The sequence below is a fragment of the Homo sapiens genome, chromosome 8 (assembly GCF_000001405.40).
Source record: "Homo sapiens chromosome 8, GRCh38.p14 Primary Assembly".
In the NCBI taxonomy this organism is placed as follows: Eukaryota; Metazoa; Chordata; class Mammalia; order Primates; family Hominidae; genus Homo; species Homo sapiens.
In genome coordinates, this window is record NC_000008.11 from 17,089,886 (window position 1) to 17,112,663 (window position 22,778).

The 22,778-nt window shown below is 34.1% G+C and overlaps 1 protein-coding gene across 33 annotated transcripts in view; it reads left to right on the forward strand.

Annotated features, from left to right (window-relative positions):
- MICU3 (mitochondrial calcium uptake family member 3) overlaps positions 1-22,778 on the forward strand; it is a 111,403-nt gene that overhangs the window by 62,648 nt on the left and 25,977 nt on the right. For 10 of the 33 annotated variants that reach the window (XR_007060729.1, XR_001745514.2, XR_001745515.3 and 7 more), the window contains 4 exons: positions 661-699; positions 8,573-8,668; positions 14,506-14,606; positions 15,528-15,699. Coding sequence is in view for 24 of the 33 variants with exons in the window: in NM_181723.3 (NP_859074.1) it covers positions 661-699; positions 8,573-8,668; positions 14,506-14,606; positions 15,528-15,699 (408 nt within the window). In the remaining 9 variants the exon portion in view is untranslated. The other 23 variants (NM_001413217.1, XM_017013336.2, NM_001413225.1 and 20 more) reach the window with 20 other exon arrangements.

Sequence of the window (22,778 nt, forward strand, 5' to 3'; positions counted from 1 at the left end):
TAAAAATTAAATCAAAACTAAAGTTAAAAATATTTATATGCCAAAATAAAACTGTGATTCAGAAGGGAAAAGGGAAGTGAACATAACATTTCTTGGGACACTTATGTGCTAAGCTCCATGCTATACTCATTGTTAATGTTACTCCCCTTTAGTCCTCATGACCGTTCTACCAGGTAAGTATTATACCTGCTTGGAGATGAGAAAACAGTCTTAGAGAGATTCATGTGCCTAATGTCACAGCACTGATCACAGCAGAGCAGGATTCCAGCACAGGTCTCTCATACCATTTCCACTGCCTTGCTGCTGCATCTGGATTTCCCCCTATGCCATGTAGCATTGCGGAAGCATGTCCAAATCAAACCGCATACTTCAGGACAACGTGTTTTACTCAAAGCAGTAGTTCTATTAGAAGGTTATAATGAAATGGTTGAAATGAGCAAAAATTCATTTAATGTTTAATTATCTGAGATTTTTAAAACTTTGCTACTCATCTTTAACATTTATCCCACTTGTATTGTTCGTGTGCTCTATATAAAATGTAGCATAATGATTTGCCCTTCCTAATTGATTATTTTGTCGTCTTTTTCCTTTTTTCTTTTGCTGTACTTGGGTTCATTCTGAAATATGACACTTCATTTGGCCCTTTGTGCTCTATGTCAGCGTCTTCAACTTTATGGATACCATTCTCCTACTAATAGTGTATGTACAATACTTTAAATGTTCTTTATGTATATAGCCCTCACCTGTTATACTTGATAATGTTATTTCTTTATATAAAGCTATATCTGCTGTTTACTAATAGAATGTTTTGGAATTTATTGAACACAATAGGTGCAATGAAGCCATAATGTTACATTTCATTCCTAGATTTATGTGAAGACTAAAATATGCAGAATAATTATATATCTTTAACTTTAGATTAAAATAAGGAAAAGGTAAGTGTACAACAATTAAAACATAATAATTGAAATTTTATATCTTTTAGCAGTATTTGAAGAGTTATGTAGAGAGAGCAGATTCTCAGGCTATGTTCCTGCAGAACACAGGTATTTTATGAACCAGATCTATCCACCTTATGTACAGTCTTTGTTCAATTCTAATAAGTGTCTTAATGGATAGACTTTTTTTCATTTTCACTTTTGCTCACAATTTTTTTTCAAAGCCTTTGTTTCCTGCCATTTCCTCTGCTCTACACAAAAATCTGGTGTAAGCTGCTACTTGATATGTTATATCAGTTTATCATATTATTTCTAAAGAGGATAATGACTTTCAGACTTTTCTTGTCTTAAAAAAATTGAGAATTTCTGTAGATGAACTTCCAGTTGTACCCTTCTTCTTATGCTGAGCTTTCTTCTTTCTTTTCTCCTGAGAAAGTCAGCACTTTTGGTTAGCCCAGCTGCTAAAGGAGAACAGGCCATGGCCCTTTTTGAATGTAAACATGTGCAGTTCACTTAATTTCCCCAAGGATCCTTAAGCCTCCTGCAAGGATCCCTCAATTTTTGCAAATTCCACCATAGGAGCCCTTGAATTCAGGGTTACTGATTTAATATTATCCTGCTAAAAGTATTCTAGTTGTAGTGTACAATTCTAAAAGTAGGTGTATTGTCTCCTGTATTGGATAGTTAATCAAAATTCCAAACTATAAAAACTAATTCTGTTACAGATTTAAACAGCTACTGGAGGCTGATCCCTGTAAACTAAACCTAAGATATTTTTCCTCATTATACAAAATGGACCTGGAATGGGTAGAGAAACAAGCCAAGTCCATAGGATCCATATAAGTAATTGTTTTGTTTACTTACAAGATACTTTAAATTTTTTCTACAGAAATCACTACTCTTTTCCATTAAGTAAAGCCTGTCATTTCCTTTACATTTTTAAAGGATTACTCTGTTAATGATTTCAACAATTTCTGGAATGTGTAAGATGAAAATCTCACAGATTATAATGCCATATGCCATATACTACTTAGGACTTTATGGGGGTTTTTTTTGTTTGTTTGGTGTTTTTTAAGATGGAGTTTTGCTCTGTCGCCCAGCTGGAGTGTAGTGGCATGATCTCAGCTCACTGCAACCTCCAACTCCCTGGTTCAAGTGATTCTTCTGCCTCAGCCTCCCAAGTAGCTGAGATTACAGGCACATGCCACCATGCCCAGCTAATTTTTGTATTTTTAGTAGAGATTGGGTTTCACCATTTCAGCCAGGATGGTCTTGATCTCCTGACCTCATGATCCACCCACCTCGGCCTCCCAAAGTGCTGGGATTACACGCGTGAGCTACTGTGCCTGACCTATGATTTATTTTTCTAATGTAATATGTCATCACTGTATGAACCATTTTTCTAACTTTGACAATTTTTATTTTTCCCTTAATCTCATAAGCAGTTTTCATATAGGGTCATTATGCATTTTTTTTTAGAAAAATACGTCTCAGAATAACGTTGCTAAAAGAAAATAGATCCTAATATTGCTCTAGTTTAAACTACATATGCAAATTGCAGTCACTGAGACATTAAGACAATATTGAGAAGCAGACTTAAATCGCAAATTTTATTTATATTATGCCTGTTAAATAAAAAATTATGATTTTTACATTTTATTGTAATATTTTTTCTTTATTTCATTTTATAGAAATCAGCTTTTTCTCATGTAAAATGCACACATTAAAGTGATGTAACTTGATGTCATTTTTACATAGTCTAAAATATTACAGGATTTTTCAACTCCTCTATGAGTTTACTTGGTTAGATAAACTAAATTTCCTATAATAGAAAAATATTTGCTCATTAAGGAGTTATTATTTTCATAAACTACAAGCAAACAAGGGACATTCATTTACAATTAGAAAAAAATTCCAACATCCTGAAAATGTATATGAAATATCATTGATACAAGTATTATACAAATCTATTAGTATGGTGTTGTGAATTAACTAGCAATTATCTGCTAGTTTCCAGAGTTGTAAATTAACTCAAGTGTCTAATCTGAGTATAGATCATGGAGCTGGATATAAACTAAGAGATTTATAAGAGCCAGTTTCTACCTTTAGGAAGAAGTTTCCTCAGGGAAAGCAGTGACCCGCTTGGCTTTTTACTATGGAGATAGAGACTCTGTGGTCTCTGTAGTGAACTGTTCCAAAATTTAATCACTTTTACAGTAGATGCTGCCTATTTTCCATCACGTTATTTCCTGCTACAGTGTAAAACTGAGCATACACCTTTGTATTCATGAAGAGAGCTGTTACCTTATAACCTTTTCTGTTCCAAATAACCGTGATTCTTTTCCTATTTCTCATGTGGTCAACTCTTAATTTCATCATTGCACAGTGATGAAAAGAAGTACAGAAATTCAAAAGGATAAATAATGCCAAAAGCCAAGTACATTTGACTTTGGCATGTATTAGAGGATTTTTTTAGAAGATTATTCTAAATTCTCCTAGTTTCATTGCTGACAGAAAACATACCAGTTTTTATACCAATTCTTTGGTGTATATTGAGACTTTTTTATGGACTAAAACAATATCAATATTCTTAAATCATCTGTATTTGAAAAGAATGTGTATTTTCCAGTTTGGGGTACAGGGTTGTGTAATATATACAGATGTATATTACCAAGCATGTTAGTTATGTGTTTTAAATCTTCTCTGTCATTACTAATGTTTTTGTCTGCTTGATTTGTCAATTAGTATGTTAAATTACACATTACAATAGATTTGTTAACTTCTACTTACTGTTTTCTTAATTTTTGTTTTATGTATTTTGAATTGTTGTTACCTGTATAAGATTATAGATTATTTATATCATCTTAGTGAATTGAATCCTCTATTATATGCTATCCCTAGATCTCTAGAAATGTTTTTTGCCGTAAAATCTCTTTTAGTTATCAGAATGAATATACTACCTACCTCTATTTTAATGTTTTGTACTACTTACTGTTTTTTCCTGTAGTGATGATGAAGCTTTCCCTGATTTTTAAAATATATTTTAGTTCAGAAATTTTCTATAATTAAAACGTAAATATACAATAAAATAAATAATGATAAAATTATAACCACCATAGTATAGATCAAGAAGTAAAATATTGCCATATACCACGAATCCCCTTCATGTGTGTCCCCACTCATAATCCCTCAATGTCCTTCAAAAGATAAACACAATCATGACTTTTATGTAAATCACTTACTTGCTTTGTTCTGTGGTTTTACCACCTACTTATGCATCCTAAACAGTGTAGTTTACCCCTTTTTGTACTTTATGTAACTGGCATCATGTTATATGAATGTTTCTGTCTCGTTTCTTGGACCCAACGTCATGATTGCCAGTTTCATCTATGTTGTATGTAGTCCTAGTTAATTCACTTTTTTTGCTGTTAACAGTGGCTTTCAAGCATTGTGGTCTGTGATCCCATTACATTGTCGAAAGTTATTGAGGATCCAAAAGATATTTTGTTTACATATGTTATGTATTTACCATATTAGAAGTTAAAACTGAGAATTTAAAGATATTAGTCTGTTTTAAAACAATAATTTAAAAACTCATATGTTAACATAAACATTTTAATGTAGGAAAAACAACTTCAAAAATATAGTGAGAAGAGTGATATTGTTTTACATATTTTGCAGATCTCTTTAATGTCTAGCTTACTAGAAGACAGCTGGTTTCTCGTAGCTGTTTTGCATTCGATCTGTTGCAATATGTTATTTTGGCAATAAATACTGTCAGTTGTTTACTTTCAAGTGACAGGCTCTCGCTTGGTTCATTTTAAAAAAAAAATGTCTACCAGGTACTGAAATCTGAATAACCATGGTTTGTCTATTAGTTGTTCTTTCAAGTAAAAGTGGTGGCTCATGAAAAAAGTGGCTAGTTCAGCTTGCAACACAAACCATCACACAGGTGTTCTTTCTTAAGACAACCATGGTACTTCAGCATGCAGCAGTAGTGCTGTATGCACGCTTCCTGTTTCATCACACCAAATATTAAAAAGATACTCATTCTTCTATGCCTCTTAATTTCTCCTTAACAGTTTGCCGTATTTTTATCTTTTCATGCTGCATTGTGCATAATTCTTCATGTTTATCTTCCGGTTCATTAATTCTACTAGAGATATATAATCTGATACTAAATTTCAGCGGTTAAATTTCTAAGAGTTTTATTTGACTATTATTTTAAGAGTAAAACAATTTTTGATAGTCTGTTTTTCCTGAATAATTCTTTCAAATCTAGCTTCATATTTTTCAAAGTTGTCAAAGTTACTTTGTATTCCATATCTAAGCATTTCATTATTGGAAGTCTGCACATCTGGTTCTGTTGTTTGTTTCTGCTGGCTCTCACTTAGGGTGGCTTATGTTCTTTTGTCTTTAGCAGTTTTGTGTTGTGGGCATACAATTGTTGGAAAGTCTCTGTTCAGATTCTTTAAGGACTAGATTAAGGATATATTCTTCCTGGGAGGATTGTATTCAGTTTTCTTTTTCTTTTTTTCCTATGATATACCTAGGGTGCAGTGCCATGTAACTTTAAATAACAAGTCTCAGATTACAGTTTTTAGGGCCATGGTTGTCATAGTGACACGAATTATAAAGATATAGTTTTAATATGTGTGTGTGTTTGTCTGTGTTTAAATATCACTAATAGCAAAAACAGTTTACTATCTGTTCCTATGGGCTGTTACTTTATTTTTCCCCTAGTTTGTTTAATCTCTGAATAGAACCTTCTTAGACCCTTTATTCAGACAGGGTATTTGGCTCTCTGAACATGGGCAACGTTAGGGAGCCATTATTCTGCTTAGCACAGTGATATATTAACCATCTCTAAATCAATCTTCTTTCCTCCTAACTGCCTTTTTCCCTCCTTTCCTCCTTCCCTCTTTATTTCCTTCTTTCCTTCCTCCCTTCCTTTTTTGTCTCCTTCCTTTCTTGCTGCCTTCCTCCCTTTCAGTCATATATGGCATGGAATGCCTTGAATGGGATCCTGCTTTGGCTCAGCCAAAAATGCCCTGGGCGCTTTTGACCAAAATTACAAAGTGTAAGAAAGTTCTATCAATAACAGACTCTGAACTTAAGCAAAAAATGTGTCACACTTACAGGGCACACTACATGCAGGACATCATTTTGGCTGTGCCTTTCACTTGTGAAGTTCTGGGCTACCTAACTGTATATTCTTTTACCTCTTTTAATGAAGGTCTACACATTTTACATGACATCTGGTAAAGGGGCCAGTAGCTCAGATAGCAAACAAAGATAACCGAGAAAACTTCAGGAAGTCTTTGCGTATTGGTCTACTATTTACATATCAAAGCATCATAGTTGTCTGTTTCACAGCCATCAAAGTGTCCAGTTACACCTGGGCATTTTTCTCTGTCAGCCTTTCCTTACTTAGCCTGTATGCATAGATATGTTCTGGTTTTATATTTGCTTTGCATTTCTTGCTATTAAAATCTAGTCTGACTTTCATTGCTACTTTAAGCTTATGTAAAATATCCTTACTGTATTATATTTTCGTGGTGATAAAACTTCCTACTAGTTTGCATATTCTGAGAATGTGCTCTTAACTTCATCGTTCAAATTGTTTAAAACATTTAAAACTGTCTCCAGAACAGTTACATATATAGGAATCAGTGAGTGTGCCAGGCATATCACTGATTTATTAGCTGTTTTTTCCTGCAGCAGTAGTTGCTGTAAGGATGTTGTTTCTGCCCTCAGAAACTTTATAATTATTTAAAAGATGATGTAAGATAAAACAAAAACAAATATATCCAGTTACAGCAATTCAGTAGTATATCCTAGCATTGTTTAATCCCTGAGGCTAAATGATGAACCAGAAAGCTTTCTGCAGCAGGACACTTGTAAAACTGTTACGTTCTAAATAAGATTTTTTAAATTTGAAAAGTTGTATATTATCCTAATAGATAAATACACATTTTCAAAATATTTTCAAATATGGCAAAGCAAGAAGAAAATTTAAAATATCCTAACCCCAACATTTGGAAATAATTAATATATTTACTTCTTTTTCTTGTCCACAAAATACATGGTTGGTTAAACTAATTTTAGTTCTTAATACGTTCTAAATATATTTGTGTGTGTGTGTGTGTGTGTGTGTGTGTGTGTGTGTGTGTGATTGTGGACAGTGTTTGGAAGTAAGGATGAGGCATGGCTTCACAAAGTGAATCATTCCTGCTACTCTTCTAACAGTAGTGCACAGTAAGCCTTATTTTCTAGTTTGGTGGGTTTAACAATCCCTTTCTTTATCACATATTAACCTTCTGAGTTGAACTTTTAAAACGCATCCACATTCAAAATATGTGAATAATATTTTCAGATCAATCATTTGATCTAGCTAGTATTTATTGAGGTTATTCCATATCTATATAAAATAAAATGAACTGTATTAGTTCTATATTTAGCTAGTCTTCCCTGTTTAGTTTATAACTGCTTAGTTAAAGCTTATATTATTATAAAGGGAGTGATGCAGATTCTCTGTCAATTTGCTACATTTATAGTTATGGTAATATTTATGTCTGTGTTATGTAAATGGTTCCTGCTAAATAATACTTTATTTACATTTTATTAAGATTTTATTAAAATATAGGCAGTGGGCAGTGTTTCTAGTTAGTAATAGTGAATTGAAACTTAGAGGACCTTTGAAATAATTCCTAGATGCATATAATTTTATTAGGAGCACTGGACTTTTAAAGATTAAGGCAAAATGAAAGAAAGAAAAGTTCTGTTTTCATCCAGCCACTCTTGAGTACACCATGCAGCATTTCATCTCACATTAACCAAAAGACCACCTGAGAACCTGTGAAATCTTCCCTGATAAATCCTGACAGAAACTGGGTTTAATTATTTTTGTTTATGGGGATCCAAGTTAGGCTTGCAGTTTGACATCTTCCTAGAGTGATTAGACTACACTTTTTAATCTACACTTCCTGATATCTCCTTCAGACTACCCTGTTCTCAGAATTTAGTATCCTGTCCTTGTAATAAATAATAAGTAGTACCGTAACCATTCACAATAGAAACACCTGCCAAATCTCAAGTAGTTTTGAGTGCTTTGACTTAAAACAGGTCTATTTCTTTTTGACAAGTTTGGGATGAATTTAAACTTTGTTTCTGTAAAGTATAGATAAAGTTATTTTGAGTCTTTGATACACTAGCAAGATAAATGATAGCCAGCAATAATGTATCTTTTAATAGGTTGCTACAAAGTTACCAAAATTTTTCCCAAACAAATTTACTTCACACAAGGTGTGAATAGAATTTTTTTTCACCCTTTCTTAGAAGTTACACACGTTTCAGTAGAGGGGCAGAAGGAGAGATCGGAGAATTTGATTCTTTTCGACAAAGCTACATTGTACTTACAAATAGTGGTTATATACCATTACACCTTTGAAAGTATGTGAGTTACCAGCAGTGTAATACAATACTGTGGTGCACAGCAGAAAACAAAACAAACAAACAAAAAAAGGTAAGCTAATGTGTTTCCTTTTCAAGGTTGGTTAGATTTAAAGTGTATAAATTATCATTCTTTGTAACTATTCTTTAGATTTCAGTTGTGCTTCTTAAAACTTCTACAGGTACTTAAAACAGATGCTGAGGAACTTGTCTCCAGAAGCTATTGGGATACACTGAGACGTAACACAAGCCAAGCACTGTTTTCAGACCTCGCAGAGGTATAATTAAACCTCAACAAGGTCCTTGTACTATTTGCCATCTTGTTAATCTAGTCGTCATTTCATTTTAGTCACAGTGATGAAACCCAACATGTATGTTACATTTTCCATTGTTTTAGTACAGCAAAAATTACTATATATAAACTGTGTATTTGAATACATCAGCTTTGACAGTTGAACTTAATTAAAAGGAAATGGCATTTTTTTTAACTTAAGGATCACTTTCTAGAAATTAGAATATATATATTTTAAAGTTTCACTGAATCTTTTAAGCTTACAATTTACCATGTTACATGAAATGCTGAAATGTTTCCCCCAGTAAAAGATACCTGACTCTTCAGAGTTATGTTAGATTTAAACAAATTTCCTAGTATTGATAGTGAGTGGCTTACCAAGGGCCTGGGGTATGGGAGTTTGAGAAGGTATGGTAGGAACAGCCAGTCAAGGAAGGGAGGAATATTTTACCTTGACATTAAGATTGCCAGTGCATAGTGAAAATAAAAAGCAGACCGACCTTATTTCAGTTCTATTACTGTTTATGAATTTGTTACAGATCTGCATCGTACTGCTGCATCGGAGTGGGCTGCTTCCATTATCCCATTCTTACACCACTGTCAATAGAGATTTCTAGTTTCTCAAGATGGGCCATATCTTAGAAAAACTGTTTTGTGTTTCTTATTAAGAATTTTTCCTAAGAACTTTATTAGAGGCAGCTAGCGGTCTTACCAGAAAAGACTTTTCAATAAATACTGAGATTTGTTTTTCATTATCTCTTTCTCTTTACAGTGGGCTTCTCATTTCTTTTTCTAAACTTTAAATTTAACTTTTAGAAGTTACACCTGAAAATATCTGGAGAAGTAAACTGGAATCAGTTGTGACTTCTGTTATCCATATATACAATGTTACTCTATTGACATATCTAGACTAGGGCAAACACTTGAAAATGTTAATTTTGTCGCCCTTGCTCAGTTTTAAAGTCCCAAAGCAATTAAAGTATTTTGTCCTATGTTTAATATGTCTGTGATATATAAATGTGATGTAATTATGACCAACAATTACCTTTTAAAATTACCTTTTCAATATGAGCCATGATTAGGTATGAAGTGGCAGATGTTCCCTTTACAGATATTTTAGAAGCACTTTATTTTGTAATCATTATGTAGGCACATTGTAGTAGTCAGTGCTTAAAAATAAGAGCAACTGGGACTCTTAGAGTGCATACAAGTCAACTGTGTCCTAGTTTCCATGCTTCAAATCAACAGTCATATCATTGTTGTCTCTCCCCATACTAGAGTATCCACCTTCCAGCCTCCAACTATCTTCATCCCATTTAACTCTGGTAGACATTCTCAGTTAGACAAAATCTGCTAATCAGATGTTGAATTTAATTTAAATCTTGGGAAGTTTAATATCAGAAAACCAGTCAGTTCCTGTGTACTCAGAGAATTATATGATTTCTGTAAGATCTTTGGAAAAGGTATATGGTTCTGTTGTAGATAGACTGGAGGAGCTGTGGGCTTTTACAGCTTCCCAGAGCTAATTAATTCTGCACACCTCTTCCCAACTCAACATTCTGTGACACCCCCTTTGTTACTTGAAAGTGGCCGTGATAGGAGTATGAATACCACAGAAACTGGCCAACATTACAAATCAGCCTTTTTTTTTTTTCCCGGACAACTCAGTTTGCCAGCACACTATTGGCTGTAATTAATCCACACTCTGATCCAAAGCTGCTAAATTAATGAATGAATTGAATCAAATTTCATGAAAGTAAATCTGATGGAGACAATCAAGAAAGGAAAAAGAGGAAAAGAAAAGAAAACTTATATCGTGTTCCAGAGTAAAATAATTACTTGGGGTTTATCTGTTACTACCCTCCCACATTAGAATAATAATTGAGAATTAACTACAGTTCAGTTACAACTAATTATATAAATCCTTATAGGTTACTGTGAATACCAGCGGAACACAGAATTGTTTATAGTATTAGTATTTCAGGATTCAAATTGGTTCAGAAAGAAGGCTTGGAAATCTATTTGTTATATGTATTTCTTTATTATATATTTAATATGTAATTATTGAGATAAAATCTGTTTATTATAGGGAAATTGGGTTATTAGCCCCTCATATTCTAGTCTGGAGCTGTTTCTAACCATAGATTTTTAAAATTACAGTAAAACTCCGTGTCTCCAATTACTGTGAAACCATATAATGAAAATTTGAATATCAGAGCTAAGACTACTTTCTAACCAAAATCATATATAATAAATTCTTAGTGCAGTATGATGAGTATATTGTGCAACTGTTGAATACAGTCTGTCAGTGTCAAAATTATAAACACTGTTTTGAGTTCTACAGATGAAATGTAAAATTTTGCTTTAAATTTGCTTTAAATTACATATTCTTGGTAAATTTCAATGGATTATTCAAAAACTTCATTAACAAAATCAAAAGTTTGAAGATTTCCTCTAGCCCTTCGATACCTCGTAGGGTTATTATCACATTATAATCAATAAAAATATGTTAAAAGAATATTTTTAAACCCTTTAATAGTTTGATATATTTATATTTCATGCAAGTTTATTTTTGATGAAATCATTTTAAATAGTTTTTAATCAAAACAAAGTAAGATAATGTCCTTTGAATAAATGGCCCATGGGGTTCTTTGGTGGCTTTTTCTCCCTTTGTTATGAAAACACCCGAGTTCATTTTATTTTAACAATGAGCACAAGAATCACAGGGATAAAGTCTCTATTTTTCTCTCAGTCCTTGGGTGATGTAAGTTACATAACACTGTTAAGATCCCAAGGACACTGGTATAGTTTTCAGTGGCTGAGCAGTACTCTGTTTCACTGAATGGGGGAAAAGTTTTCCCCATTTTCATTTTCATTTCTCTGATGTCACTGTTACTTATGCCTCATTGGATCTGGATTATCTGGATAAGTGCAACCTACATCTCATAAGATTTTGATGCTGAAAGACTGTTAAGTGAAGATCTGCTCTGATCAGTGGGCAGGAGAAAAACTGGCCGAATGAGGTCATTATTTAAAACCTGTATAAGACAAAGCCATCTTATTTTAGTATACTGTGTCTTGAAAAGGACATCCCACACTGTAAGAAAACATTCCTTAATTATGTTATCTGAATTCACTAACTTTTGGTGTTCCTGTAACCACTCATTTTAAGGCTTTTTTTCCAGATGTATATAATATGTAATTTCAACAGCAAAAAAGAAGTAAGAGTGTATGATGTAAAAATCTTTTTTTCATTAAGATTCAACATTCTTTTCTGTGTCTAGTCCCTTTTCAGTGTCCTGAAATATATTTGACAAAAATACATAATAACAGCTAACACTTACTGAGCATTTACAGTACACTAGTCAGAGGGCTAAATGATTTAAATGTGTTATCCTTACCACAACCCTTTGGGATAGATACTATTATTATTCCTTAAGATAGTAATATCCTCGAGAGATTAACTTCTCTAAGGTCACTTAAATAATGAGAAGTGCCTGGATTCAAAGCCAGCAGTCTGACTTTTAAACTCATCTTATTTGCTCACCACAGTACTGGCTATTTGTGAAGCAAGCAACTTTTTCAAAAACAACATTTCCCCCTTCTGATCTACTCTTGTCTCCTTTCCTCCCACCCCATTCCTCTAGCTTCCAGACAGAGGCGCCTCTACTCTTATGCTCCACTCGAGCATGGAGTAACCTCTGAAATATTTCCTCCTACTACTAATTTAAGCGGATAATAAGTAAGATAATAAACTTATTAAGCTAGACTCTATTAAATCACACAAAGAGTGCCTATAATTAATACCAGATTTCTTTTTTCCCAAAAGTTATTTGCATCTTATGACTACTAATAAGAACATTTGTTTGCTTATATTTTAACTTTATCCTCAAAATTGTTGTTATGGTTAGGATTATTCCCATTTTATAGATAAGAAAGCTGAAGGTTAAAAAAAGTCAGTGACCCATGTCTTCTAATTTTAAATTTTGTTCTATTAGAGCAGGCTGCCTCTTCAACTTAAAGTTCTGGGGACAGTAATGCCTTTGAGAGCTACTCCAATTATACTAGTCTCCCCTCACTTATGGAGCCCCACAAGACTGGCACCACTAATATCCCTCAAGTTTCATAAGAAGCTTATTCAAGAAGATGCATTTAAAACATAGTATGTGACACTTGGCTACCTGGCTGTATTTTTTTTCCTCCCGGCAAACAGATCAAACTACTATCAAATCCTCAAAGAAGTTGGTTTTATTGTAGACAACTTCTCAGGTATTCCAGCTATGGAGAATTCTTGGGATTTCTCAACAAAGTAAACTGAGAAGTAGTAGTAGAGATCTACCAAACAATGACAAGGAGGTTATATGCTGGAAATGATTAGGAAAATCTAAACTATATTACTTAAATGTGAATAGAATATTTAGTCGATTACTAAAGAATGTCAACAATTTTAGATAATTTAAAGTACAGATGACCCTACATGCTGGAGTTTTTAAGACATGTGAATAATTAGTCACTTTAGAAACAGATTTTAATGCATTAAAAGGGGACATGTGCAGGGGAAATCAGGTGTGGTCTTTGTTACTCCATTTTAATCATTAAAAGAGAAGAAGATGTGGTCCATGGAGAAAGGAAATAAAGATTTAACAAATGTTATGAAGGACAAAATTGCCATCTTTATGAAAGATTAGGAAGAGGGCTATGAGGAATTAAAGGAATATGAAAATTTAGTATATGGGTGAATGAGACTTTTGGTCAGCAACCACAGAAGACTGATCCTTTGTAGAGAAGTATTTGTTTTCTGTCTTATGTTTTCTATGGAGTACTATAAGAGTTCTGGACAAAAAGCTAAAAACGATGTGCCTATCTACAGCTATTTTTCTTGAATAAAAAATAGGATTATTTAAACTCTTTTTTCACATTTCCTAGGATGATGTGTAGGAGAGTTATAGTCCTTTGAATTTTATGCTTTTTGTACCTGAGTTTATGAAATGAGTTAATGGCCAACTGGAGAAGGAAGGAAGGAAGGAAGGAAGGGAAGGAGAGAAAAGGAAGATCTATAAAGCTATATTAAAGGAAGGTGGATGATTTTCATAGGCCATTATACTTTATAAGGACTATAACCAAGCAGTTTTAAGAAAATACTTAGAACTTAGTTTATTGAGTGGGAAAGCAAAAATCCTCTGGAATTAATTTTTTATCCATTTGACGTGTTACGTAAGACTTTGAAAAAATTATAGATCATATAAATTTTCAAGGTCATATTATTACTTTAGTTTTTCTCTTTCCAAATACAGTATCCATTTAAAGTATCATAACTGTGGAATACAGTGGTTAAAGGAAGCTGTTTTGTGAAGCTTGGGACCTTTCTTTTGTCAGCTCCATTTATTCAGTATATCTGAAGAGGTTACCTCTTTGGAACATCATTTAAAAAAACAGATTTTTCAGATTGATTAGGAAAATCCAAACTAATTACTTGAATAAAAATAGAATATTTAGATGATTATTAAAGGATTTCAATTATTTTAGATAATTTAAAAGATAGAATCCTATATGCATAATTTGTGATTAAACATTTCTTAAATCACATCTTCAAAAATTTTTGAGTACAATGATCAGTTCCATTCAAAGTTCTATTTTTAAAATGTGAGCTTTATTTTAACTATAATTGCATGTATTAATATGCCTGTGTTTTTCATTCTAATATTAATATATTTACATTCTTGATGTTTGTATGTTGATAACAGAATTCTTTGAGAAATATTGGGTATCCCTATTCTGTTTCTTTTATTGAAGCTAACTTTTAAATTGTGATTTTTTTTTAAGCGTGCTGATGACATCACAAGTTTAGTAACAGATACTACACTTCTTGTACACTTTTTTGGAAAGAAAGGAAAAGCTGAGCTCAACTTTGAAGATTTTTATAGGTGAGCTTATTTTTATATTTTTATTAAAAATTATTAGCCTACTGAAATCAGAAGGATCTTTAGAAATTGTCTAGTACAGCAATACTCACCTCTTTGTTACTTTAATTTTAAATAAGATCCTCTGTATAATAAATACCCACATTTATCAGTACCTACATACCAGTGGTTATATTGATAATTATAACAGGAAGTTACTGAATTTTTTTAAAAATTCCAGATATCGGCCGGGCGCGGTGGCTCACGCCTGTAATCCCAGCACTTTGGGAGGCCGAGGCGGGCGGATCACGAGGTCAGGAGATCGAGACCATCCTGGCTAACACGGTGAAACCCCGTCTCTACTAAAAATACAAAAAATTAGCCGGGCGTGGTAGCGGGCGCCTGTAGTCCCAGCTACTCGGGAGGCTGAGGCAGGAGAATGGCGTGAACCCGGGAGGCGGAGCTTGCAGTGAGCCGAGATGGCGCCACTGCACTCCAGCCTGGGCGACAGAGCGAGACTCCGTCTCAAAAAAAAAAAAAAAAAAAAAAAAAAAAAATTCCAGATATCTGGATTGATTGTTATCTCTTGTATATTCAGAAGAAAGTATGTTGCCAATTCCTTGTCTCAATAAGCTGCAGTGATAGTAACAAGTAGTTTAAGTATCATTGCTATTCTGCAAGGTACTTTTGTTATCCCCATGTTATAGATGAGGAAACTAAACCCCTGAAAGGCTAGGTTATTTGCCCTGGGTGCTACAGTCATTAAGTAGTAAAGCGATCGTGTGTTCTTTTCATTCTCATTTACAGGGAGGAACTTTATTAATCTTTGCATCATCATACAATTATTTCCATATAACCTTTTCTAGGACAGTGAGTATTTGCTCATCTCCTGTTACGATTACTCTTTCTTTATCTTTTTCCTTCTTTATTACATTTTTGTCATAGATTCATGGATAATCTCCAAACAGAAGTTCTAGAAATAGAATTCCTTTCCTACTCAAATGGAATGAATACCATCAGTGAAGAAGATTTTGCTCATATTCTTTTACGATATACAAATGTGGAAAATACATCAGTATTTTTAGAAAATGTGCGTTACAGTATACCTGAAGAAAAGGTATCTAATCCTCATATTTAGTTGGTTATGTTACTGTTTTGCAATACGTGCCTCTAAAACACATTGCCCTTTTGTTAGTTCTTTGGCTTCTCTGTGGATTAAAAGATATCTTGGATGTGTTTCATTCTGTGTCCTAAATGCTCTGGCTACACTTTTAAAAATAAATTAATTGTATATTCTGGTTAGATATCCACATTTTTCTTAGGTATTTCAAAACTCCTTTAGGCTACTACCAATTGTTTTATTCAAATTAACAATATCATTTTTCAGGAGAATTCCACTTAGCTCTATGCTTTGACTACTACCTAAATACCACCTCATAAAAAACAGTTTATGTTGACATCATTTCTGTCACACTCTATTCCTTTCCGTAACACCCTTAATAAAAGGTCATTTGAAGACCACCATTGATGAGTGAGTGATCTTATCATCAGCTGAAGTGAAGTTTTTCAAAGAGTTTGGATGTCATGAATGGTTAAGAACCTGGGACAACTGATTGCCTATTTGTTTAGTAACAAATGTGTTGTCAGTGCTTCTGAACAGTTGCATTATCTAGTGGTATTTGAATGCATCATTGCCACCAAATAGAACTAGTGTTACAAGCACCTCTTCAAGAGTGGGATGTTTTAGATATATTGCCTTCTATTTGTGTTTAGACAAGGATCAGGTTAGTCATCCAAGAAAAACTTGCAAATAGTTTGACTTTGTTTAGAATGGATACACTGTGACAATGTTAACAATTTTCCATTTCCCCTAAGGAATGAAAAAAAAAAAAAGACTTCATGCATTTGGCAATTAGTTTACGATATCTCCAAATTAGAGTACTTTTTGTCTGTTGTACATGTTAAACGGAATTTTTCCAATTCATAGGTACTTCCCTAAAAATAAATATTGAAAATTGTACTACCCTAGTAGTGCAATTTTTCCAGCTACTGAGGTATTACTTAGGGACTTGAATCTGCTTTTTTTTTTTTTTTTGCTTTTATTAAATGGAAATATTAAAATCTGTAACTTAAAAGGTTAAGTTTTTTAAAGTTAAATTCAGTTTCTGAAAAATTCCAATTTCTAGAAGTATCTTAAGCACCACAAATGATTACTTGTAGAAATGGAAAAATTTGCACGTGAATCAAAATTAATTGATTCTCATTGATTTTTTTTTTCTACATTACCTCATCAATCCTCAGAGCAACCTTCCAGGCTTGACTTTCTTCAGCATATTTTAGAATAGTGGAAGCTGAGGCTTTCAGATACTTAGACCGTTGTCCAAGGATTCAAATCCAAGGCTTTCTAAGACAATGATATTCTTACCACACTCTACTTATGTCTTTCCCCTCCTTCCGCCTACTTAACTCTTCCCCTTCCTTCCATCTCTCATCTCCTTCTCTCCAGAAGAATAACAGCTACTAATATTTGAATAGCCCTTTACATTTCTAAATTGCTTTCATTTTCATTTGTTTACCTAGCAGATATTTATTGAGCATCTACTATTTACTTGGCTTTATTCCAACCACTGGGGTTAAAGTGGCAACATAAGCAAAATCCTTCTCTCATGGAAATGTATGTTAGTGGAGAGACAAACAAGTAAAAAAAGACATACTTTCAGATACTGATAAATGTTATGAAAGGGAGCAAGAGTCATGGGGACTGGAAAAGAAGGTAGACTGTTAGGAAGAGCTTTGCTGAAGAGTGAAGAGGTAACTTCTGGGGAGAGACTGTGAAGAATGAGCTATGCGAAGTTCTGGGTAAAGTCTTCTAGACAGAGGTAACAGCAAATGCCAAGGGCCTGAGGACAGAGAAGCTTAGTTTATTTGAGAAAATGCCAAAAGGTAAAGTAAGTGGACAGGAAAATTGTAGGCGATGAGTAAGGAGAGGTAGATATGGGTCAAATCTTTTAAGACTCTGTAGGCTAAGGTAAGAAGTTTAGTTATTCAAAGAGTGACTGTAAGAGTGATGGGAAGCCACTATAGTATTTAAACTTTAAAGCAGGAGTCAGCAAACTACTGCACCTATTTTTGTAAGTAAAATTGTATTGGAACACAGCCATTCTCATTCATTTAATATACTGTCTGCAGCTGTTTTTACACTATAATGGTAAAGTTGAGGCAACAGAGACCATGTAGCCAGTAAAAATGAAAATATTGACTCTCTGGCCCTTTACAGAAAAAGTTTGTGAACCTTGCTTTAGCATAGGCATGATGCTCATTCAGCAAATATTCAACAAGTATTGACAATCAACTGTGACACTCAGATGTGGTCTAATTCATGTGCCAGATATCTGATTCATGTTTCAAGAGATATCTTGGCTGCTACATAACAGAATAGATTTTAGGTGGCCTGGCTTTGAAAGGAAGAGACAGGTTAAGATACTGTTATAGGTGCCCAGGCAATAGATAAGCATGGCTTGGACCAGGGTAAGAGTAGGGAAAAGGGGTCAGATATTGATTGGATCATTTAAAAAGTAGAGCTGATAGTACCTGTTCGTGGATATTTCATTATAAGAGAAAAAGGAATCAGGAACTCCTAGGGCTTTGGCTTGAACCACAGGCTGAAACAATGCCATTTGCTGAGCTAAGCAAAACCATGAATTTAGGGTTAGGAGGGAATCAAGAGTTTTATTAGGAACCAGTCATATTTTAGATTCCTAATAGTTATCTCAATGAAAAATTAAGCAGGCAAGTTGGATATGTGAATCTAGCGGTCAAGGGTGCAGTCAGGACTACTGATTAGTAGTCATTAGTGTATATCCACATTGTCTGCAGCTTAAACTTCTCCCCTGAATTTCAGGCTTTTGCAATGTACTGCCTACTCAGCATCTCCACTTGAAGATCCAGTAGATGTCTTAGACTTAATGGTTGCAAACCTGAACTCCTGGTCATTCCATAACACTTGTTCTGCAAACCATCTTCCCTGTTTCAGTTCATAGGACTTCGGTTCTTCTTAGTTCTTGTGGCCAAAATTTTGGACTCCCTCTTTTCACATTCTACGTACAATCAGTCTATCAAGAAATCCTATTGATACTACCTGTATAAGAATTTAACCACTCCTAGCCACCTCCACTGCTACCATCCAAGAAACCATTCTGTCTTGCCTGGAGTGTTGGAATTTCCCCCCAGATCATCCTTCTGCTTCCAGCTTTGCCTCCCTGCAATCTATTCTGCATTTAGAATTCACGGAAATGTTTTTGACTGTGATTTCGATCATACCACAGTAAGATTGCCATTCTTCTCAAAGTAAAAGCCAGAATCCTTACAGTGGCTCCTACACACACTGCTCCCTCATTACCTTTGACCTCACTTCCTATATTCTGATCCTCCTAGCTCACTCTGCACCAACCACAGAAACTCTTTACTGTTTCTCAAATCTTCTGTCTTAGGGCTTTGTATATGTTGTCCCCTCTGATGAGAATGTTCTTCCCTTAATAGCCACATGGCTCGTTATGCTATTTCTCAATGATGCCTACCCTTTCTAATCTAATATATAAATAATAGCCTATTATATGAATAATATATAACCTATTATATAAATGATACTCCCTCTCCTGGCTGTCCTTATTCCTTCCTACCTTAATCTGTTTTTATTTCCATAGCATAATCATATTCTAACATACTGTATAATTTGCTTATTTCCTAACAAATATGTTTTATGTATATGTATGCAAATATATATATTATGTTGAACTCTTGTTAATTGATGGATAGATGGTATTTTAAAATGTAGAACTTGAAGCTTTTTTGTTTTATGAATTTTACCTACAGATTTATTCACTCATGATGAAATGGCACATGTACAAGGTTACTAATTATAATGTTGTTTGTAATAGCAACAGGCTGGAAATGGCCTAAATGTCTTTCAGTAAGTCACTGATCAAATATATCATGATATATCTATAGAATAGAATAAGGTGCAGCTGAAGAGAGATGAAAAAAAATTCTTTACTAGTGCAGAACTATCTCCAAGATATACTAAGTGTGAAAAGGGCATGATTTAGAGCCGTTTGTAGACTATAAAAAGCTTATGCTAACTCTGGAAGGATTCACAGGACTAGAAATTGGTTCCTCTAAGGAAGGAAACTACATGGCTAAGGGTGGAAGGGACATTTTGTGCTATACAATCTTTGGGCCTTTTGAATTTTGAACAAGTGAATATATTAAATAAATAATTTAAAAATTTTTAAAATGCCATGGGACTAGGTAAACTTATCTAGGAGATAATGTAGATAGTGACCAGAAGGGATGGAAAGATGACTTCTCATACTAACCATGTAATGCAAATGTTAACAAGAAAGTAGTATAATTATTGTTATTAAGCTTTAAGGAAATGGATATTCAGAAAGATTTAAGTGGCTTACCTTAGGTCATTCAGCCAGTAAATTTTGGAGTTTGGATTTATTTCTCCTAACCTTTTAAACTCACTTATATTTCTAAAAGTTATTATATACTTGCCATTTACATCAGTTACCAATAAACTTTGAACAGTATATATTGTGGCATAATTTATGGGATCAGCATGAATTTTGTGCTGAAAACAAACATGGCTTATATACACTTGAAAGCCTCATAAGACCATGTTTTCTGAACGTCTGTTTGTATTTAGTCAATACTTTATTGTAATGATTTGTTTGGATTTTTTGAGTTAGTCTTTTCCTCTTCCTAGCCTTTTGTTGTTTATTTTATTGAGGTAAAATTTGTATAACAAAAAATTAACCGTTTTAAACTGAATAATTCAGTGAGATTTAGTGAATTCACAATATTGTGCAACTGCCACCTCTTTCTACTTCTAAACCATTTTCCTCATACCAAAAGTAAGCCCCGTACCTATGATGCAGTCCCTTCCCGTTTCCTTCTCTCCTCAGTCCCTGGCAACCATCACTCTGCTTTCTGTCTCTGTGGATTTACTTATTCTAATATTTAATTTCAGTGGAATCATATAGCATGTAACCTTTTTGTTTGGGTTCTTTCATAGTATTTTTATTATTCACTTAAATTTATTTCTTTTAAGAAATGGGGTCTTTCTCTGCCACCCAGGCTGGAGTGCAGTGGTGCAACCATAGGTCACTGTAGCCCCGAACTCCTTGGCTCAAGTGATTCTCCCACCTTAGCCTCCCAGGGAGCTGGGACTATAGGCATGTCCCACTGTACCTGGCAATTTTTTTGGGGAGGGGGGGGTAGAGACAGGGTTTTTTTTTGTTTGTTTTTTTGCCTAGACTTGTCTCAAACTCCTGACTTCAAGTGATCCTCCCACCTCAACCTCCCAAAGTAGTGGGATCACAGGGGTGAGTCACCATACCTGGTCTCATAGTGTTTTTTAGGTTCATCCACATTGTAGTATGTATCAGTATTTCATTCTTTGCTATGGCTGAATAATAATAATAGTCCATTTTATGTAAATACCACAATTTGTTTATCCATTCATCCTTCCATAGACATTTGGGCGATTTCTATCTTTGGCTGTTGTGAGTAGTGCTGCTGTGAATATATGTGTACATGTAGTTTTGATTTGTATTTCCCCGGGGAGTAATTATATTCAGCATCTTTTTATATGCTTATTGGCCATTTCTTTGGAGAAATGATTTTTCAAGTCCTTTGCCCATTTTTAAATTAGGTTGTTTATCATTTTGTTACTGCTTTGTACATGTTCTTTATATAAACTGGATTCTAGAGCCTTATCAGATATATTATTTGCAACTATTTTCTCCCATTTTGTGGATTGTCTTTTCACTTTATTTTTATTTATTATTTATCTTTAATTTTTTTCTACAGACAGGGTCTCACTCTGTTACCCAGGCAGGAGTGCAGTGGCATGATCATACTCACTGCGACCTCAAACTCCTGGGCTCAAGTGATCCTCCTGCCTCAGCTTCTCAAGTAGCTAGGAGTACAGTCCCATGCTACCACACCCAGCTAATTTTGATAGTGTTCTTTAATGTACATGTTTTTAGTTTGATGAAGTCTAATTTATCTATTTTTATTTTGTTCCTTATGTGTTTGGTGTCATATTTAAGCAGTTGTTGGCAATTCAAGGTCATGAAGTTTTGTCTGGTTATTTTGTAAGTCTACTAGCTTTAACTATTAAATTTAGAACTTTGATCTGTTTTGAATTAGTTTTTATAAATGGTATGAAGTTAGGGTCTAGCTTCTTTCTTTTGCATGTGGATATCCAGTTGTCATAGCACCATTTATTGAAGAAACAATTCCTTCCCCAATAAATGATATTGACATCTATATTAGTTCACTTTCACACTGCTATAAAGAGATGCTTGAGACTGGGTAATTTATAAAGGAAAGAGGTTTAATTGACCCAGTTCTACATGGCTGGGGAGGCCTGAGAAAACTTACAATCATGGCGGAAGGCAAAGAAGAAGCAAGTACCTTCATCACAAGGCAGCAGGAGAGAAAGAGAGAACACACAGGAAAAACTGCCATTTATAAGACCATCAGATCTCATGAGAATTCACTCACTATCACGAGAACAGCATGGGGTGAACTGCCTCCATAATCCAGTCACTTCCCTCCCTCAACATGGGGGGATTATAGGTCCCTCCCTCCCTGGACACGTGGGGATTGCAATTTGAGATGAGATTTGGGTGGGGACACAGAGCCAAACCATATCAACATTCTTATTGAAAGTCAGTTGACCATAAATATTTGAGTTTATTCCGGTACTCTCAGTGCATGTATTTTTTGATGTTTTCAGCTTTTCAGTTATCATTGTTTTATTTTTGTTAGCAGATAAGCTACTTCTTTTCACCTTATTTCTAACAGTTAAGACAAGTTCCATTCAAGTCCTGATGGTTTATTCCAGTAGTGATTCTGAGTGTGAGGATGGTAGAGTGAAGAAATGGCCACACCCCTTTTGTCTGCCCCTCTCTGACTGTCTGTCCCTCTTGGCCATTAAGAAACATTGCTTTAATTATCTCCATCAAAATACATGGCCCATTTGTTATTTTATAATTTTATATTTCTAAACACAAAGTGTTTAATCTACACAAAAGAATGATTGTATGTTCTGAATTTGACCTCTTTCCAAAAATGAGAACCATGTGTTGAAAAATCTGAAAGTTCAGATGTTGAACATTATAG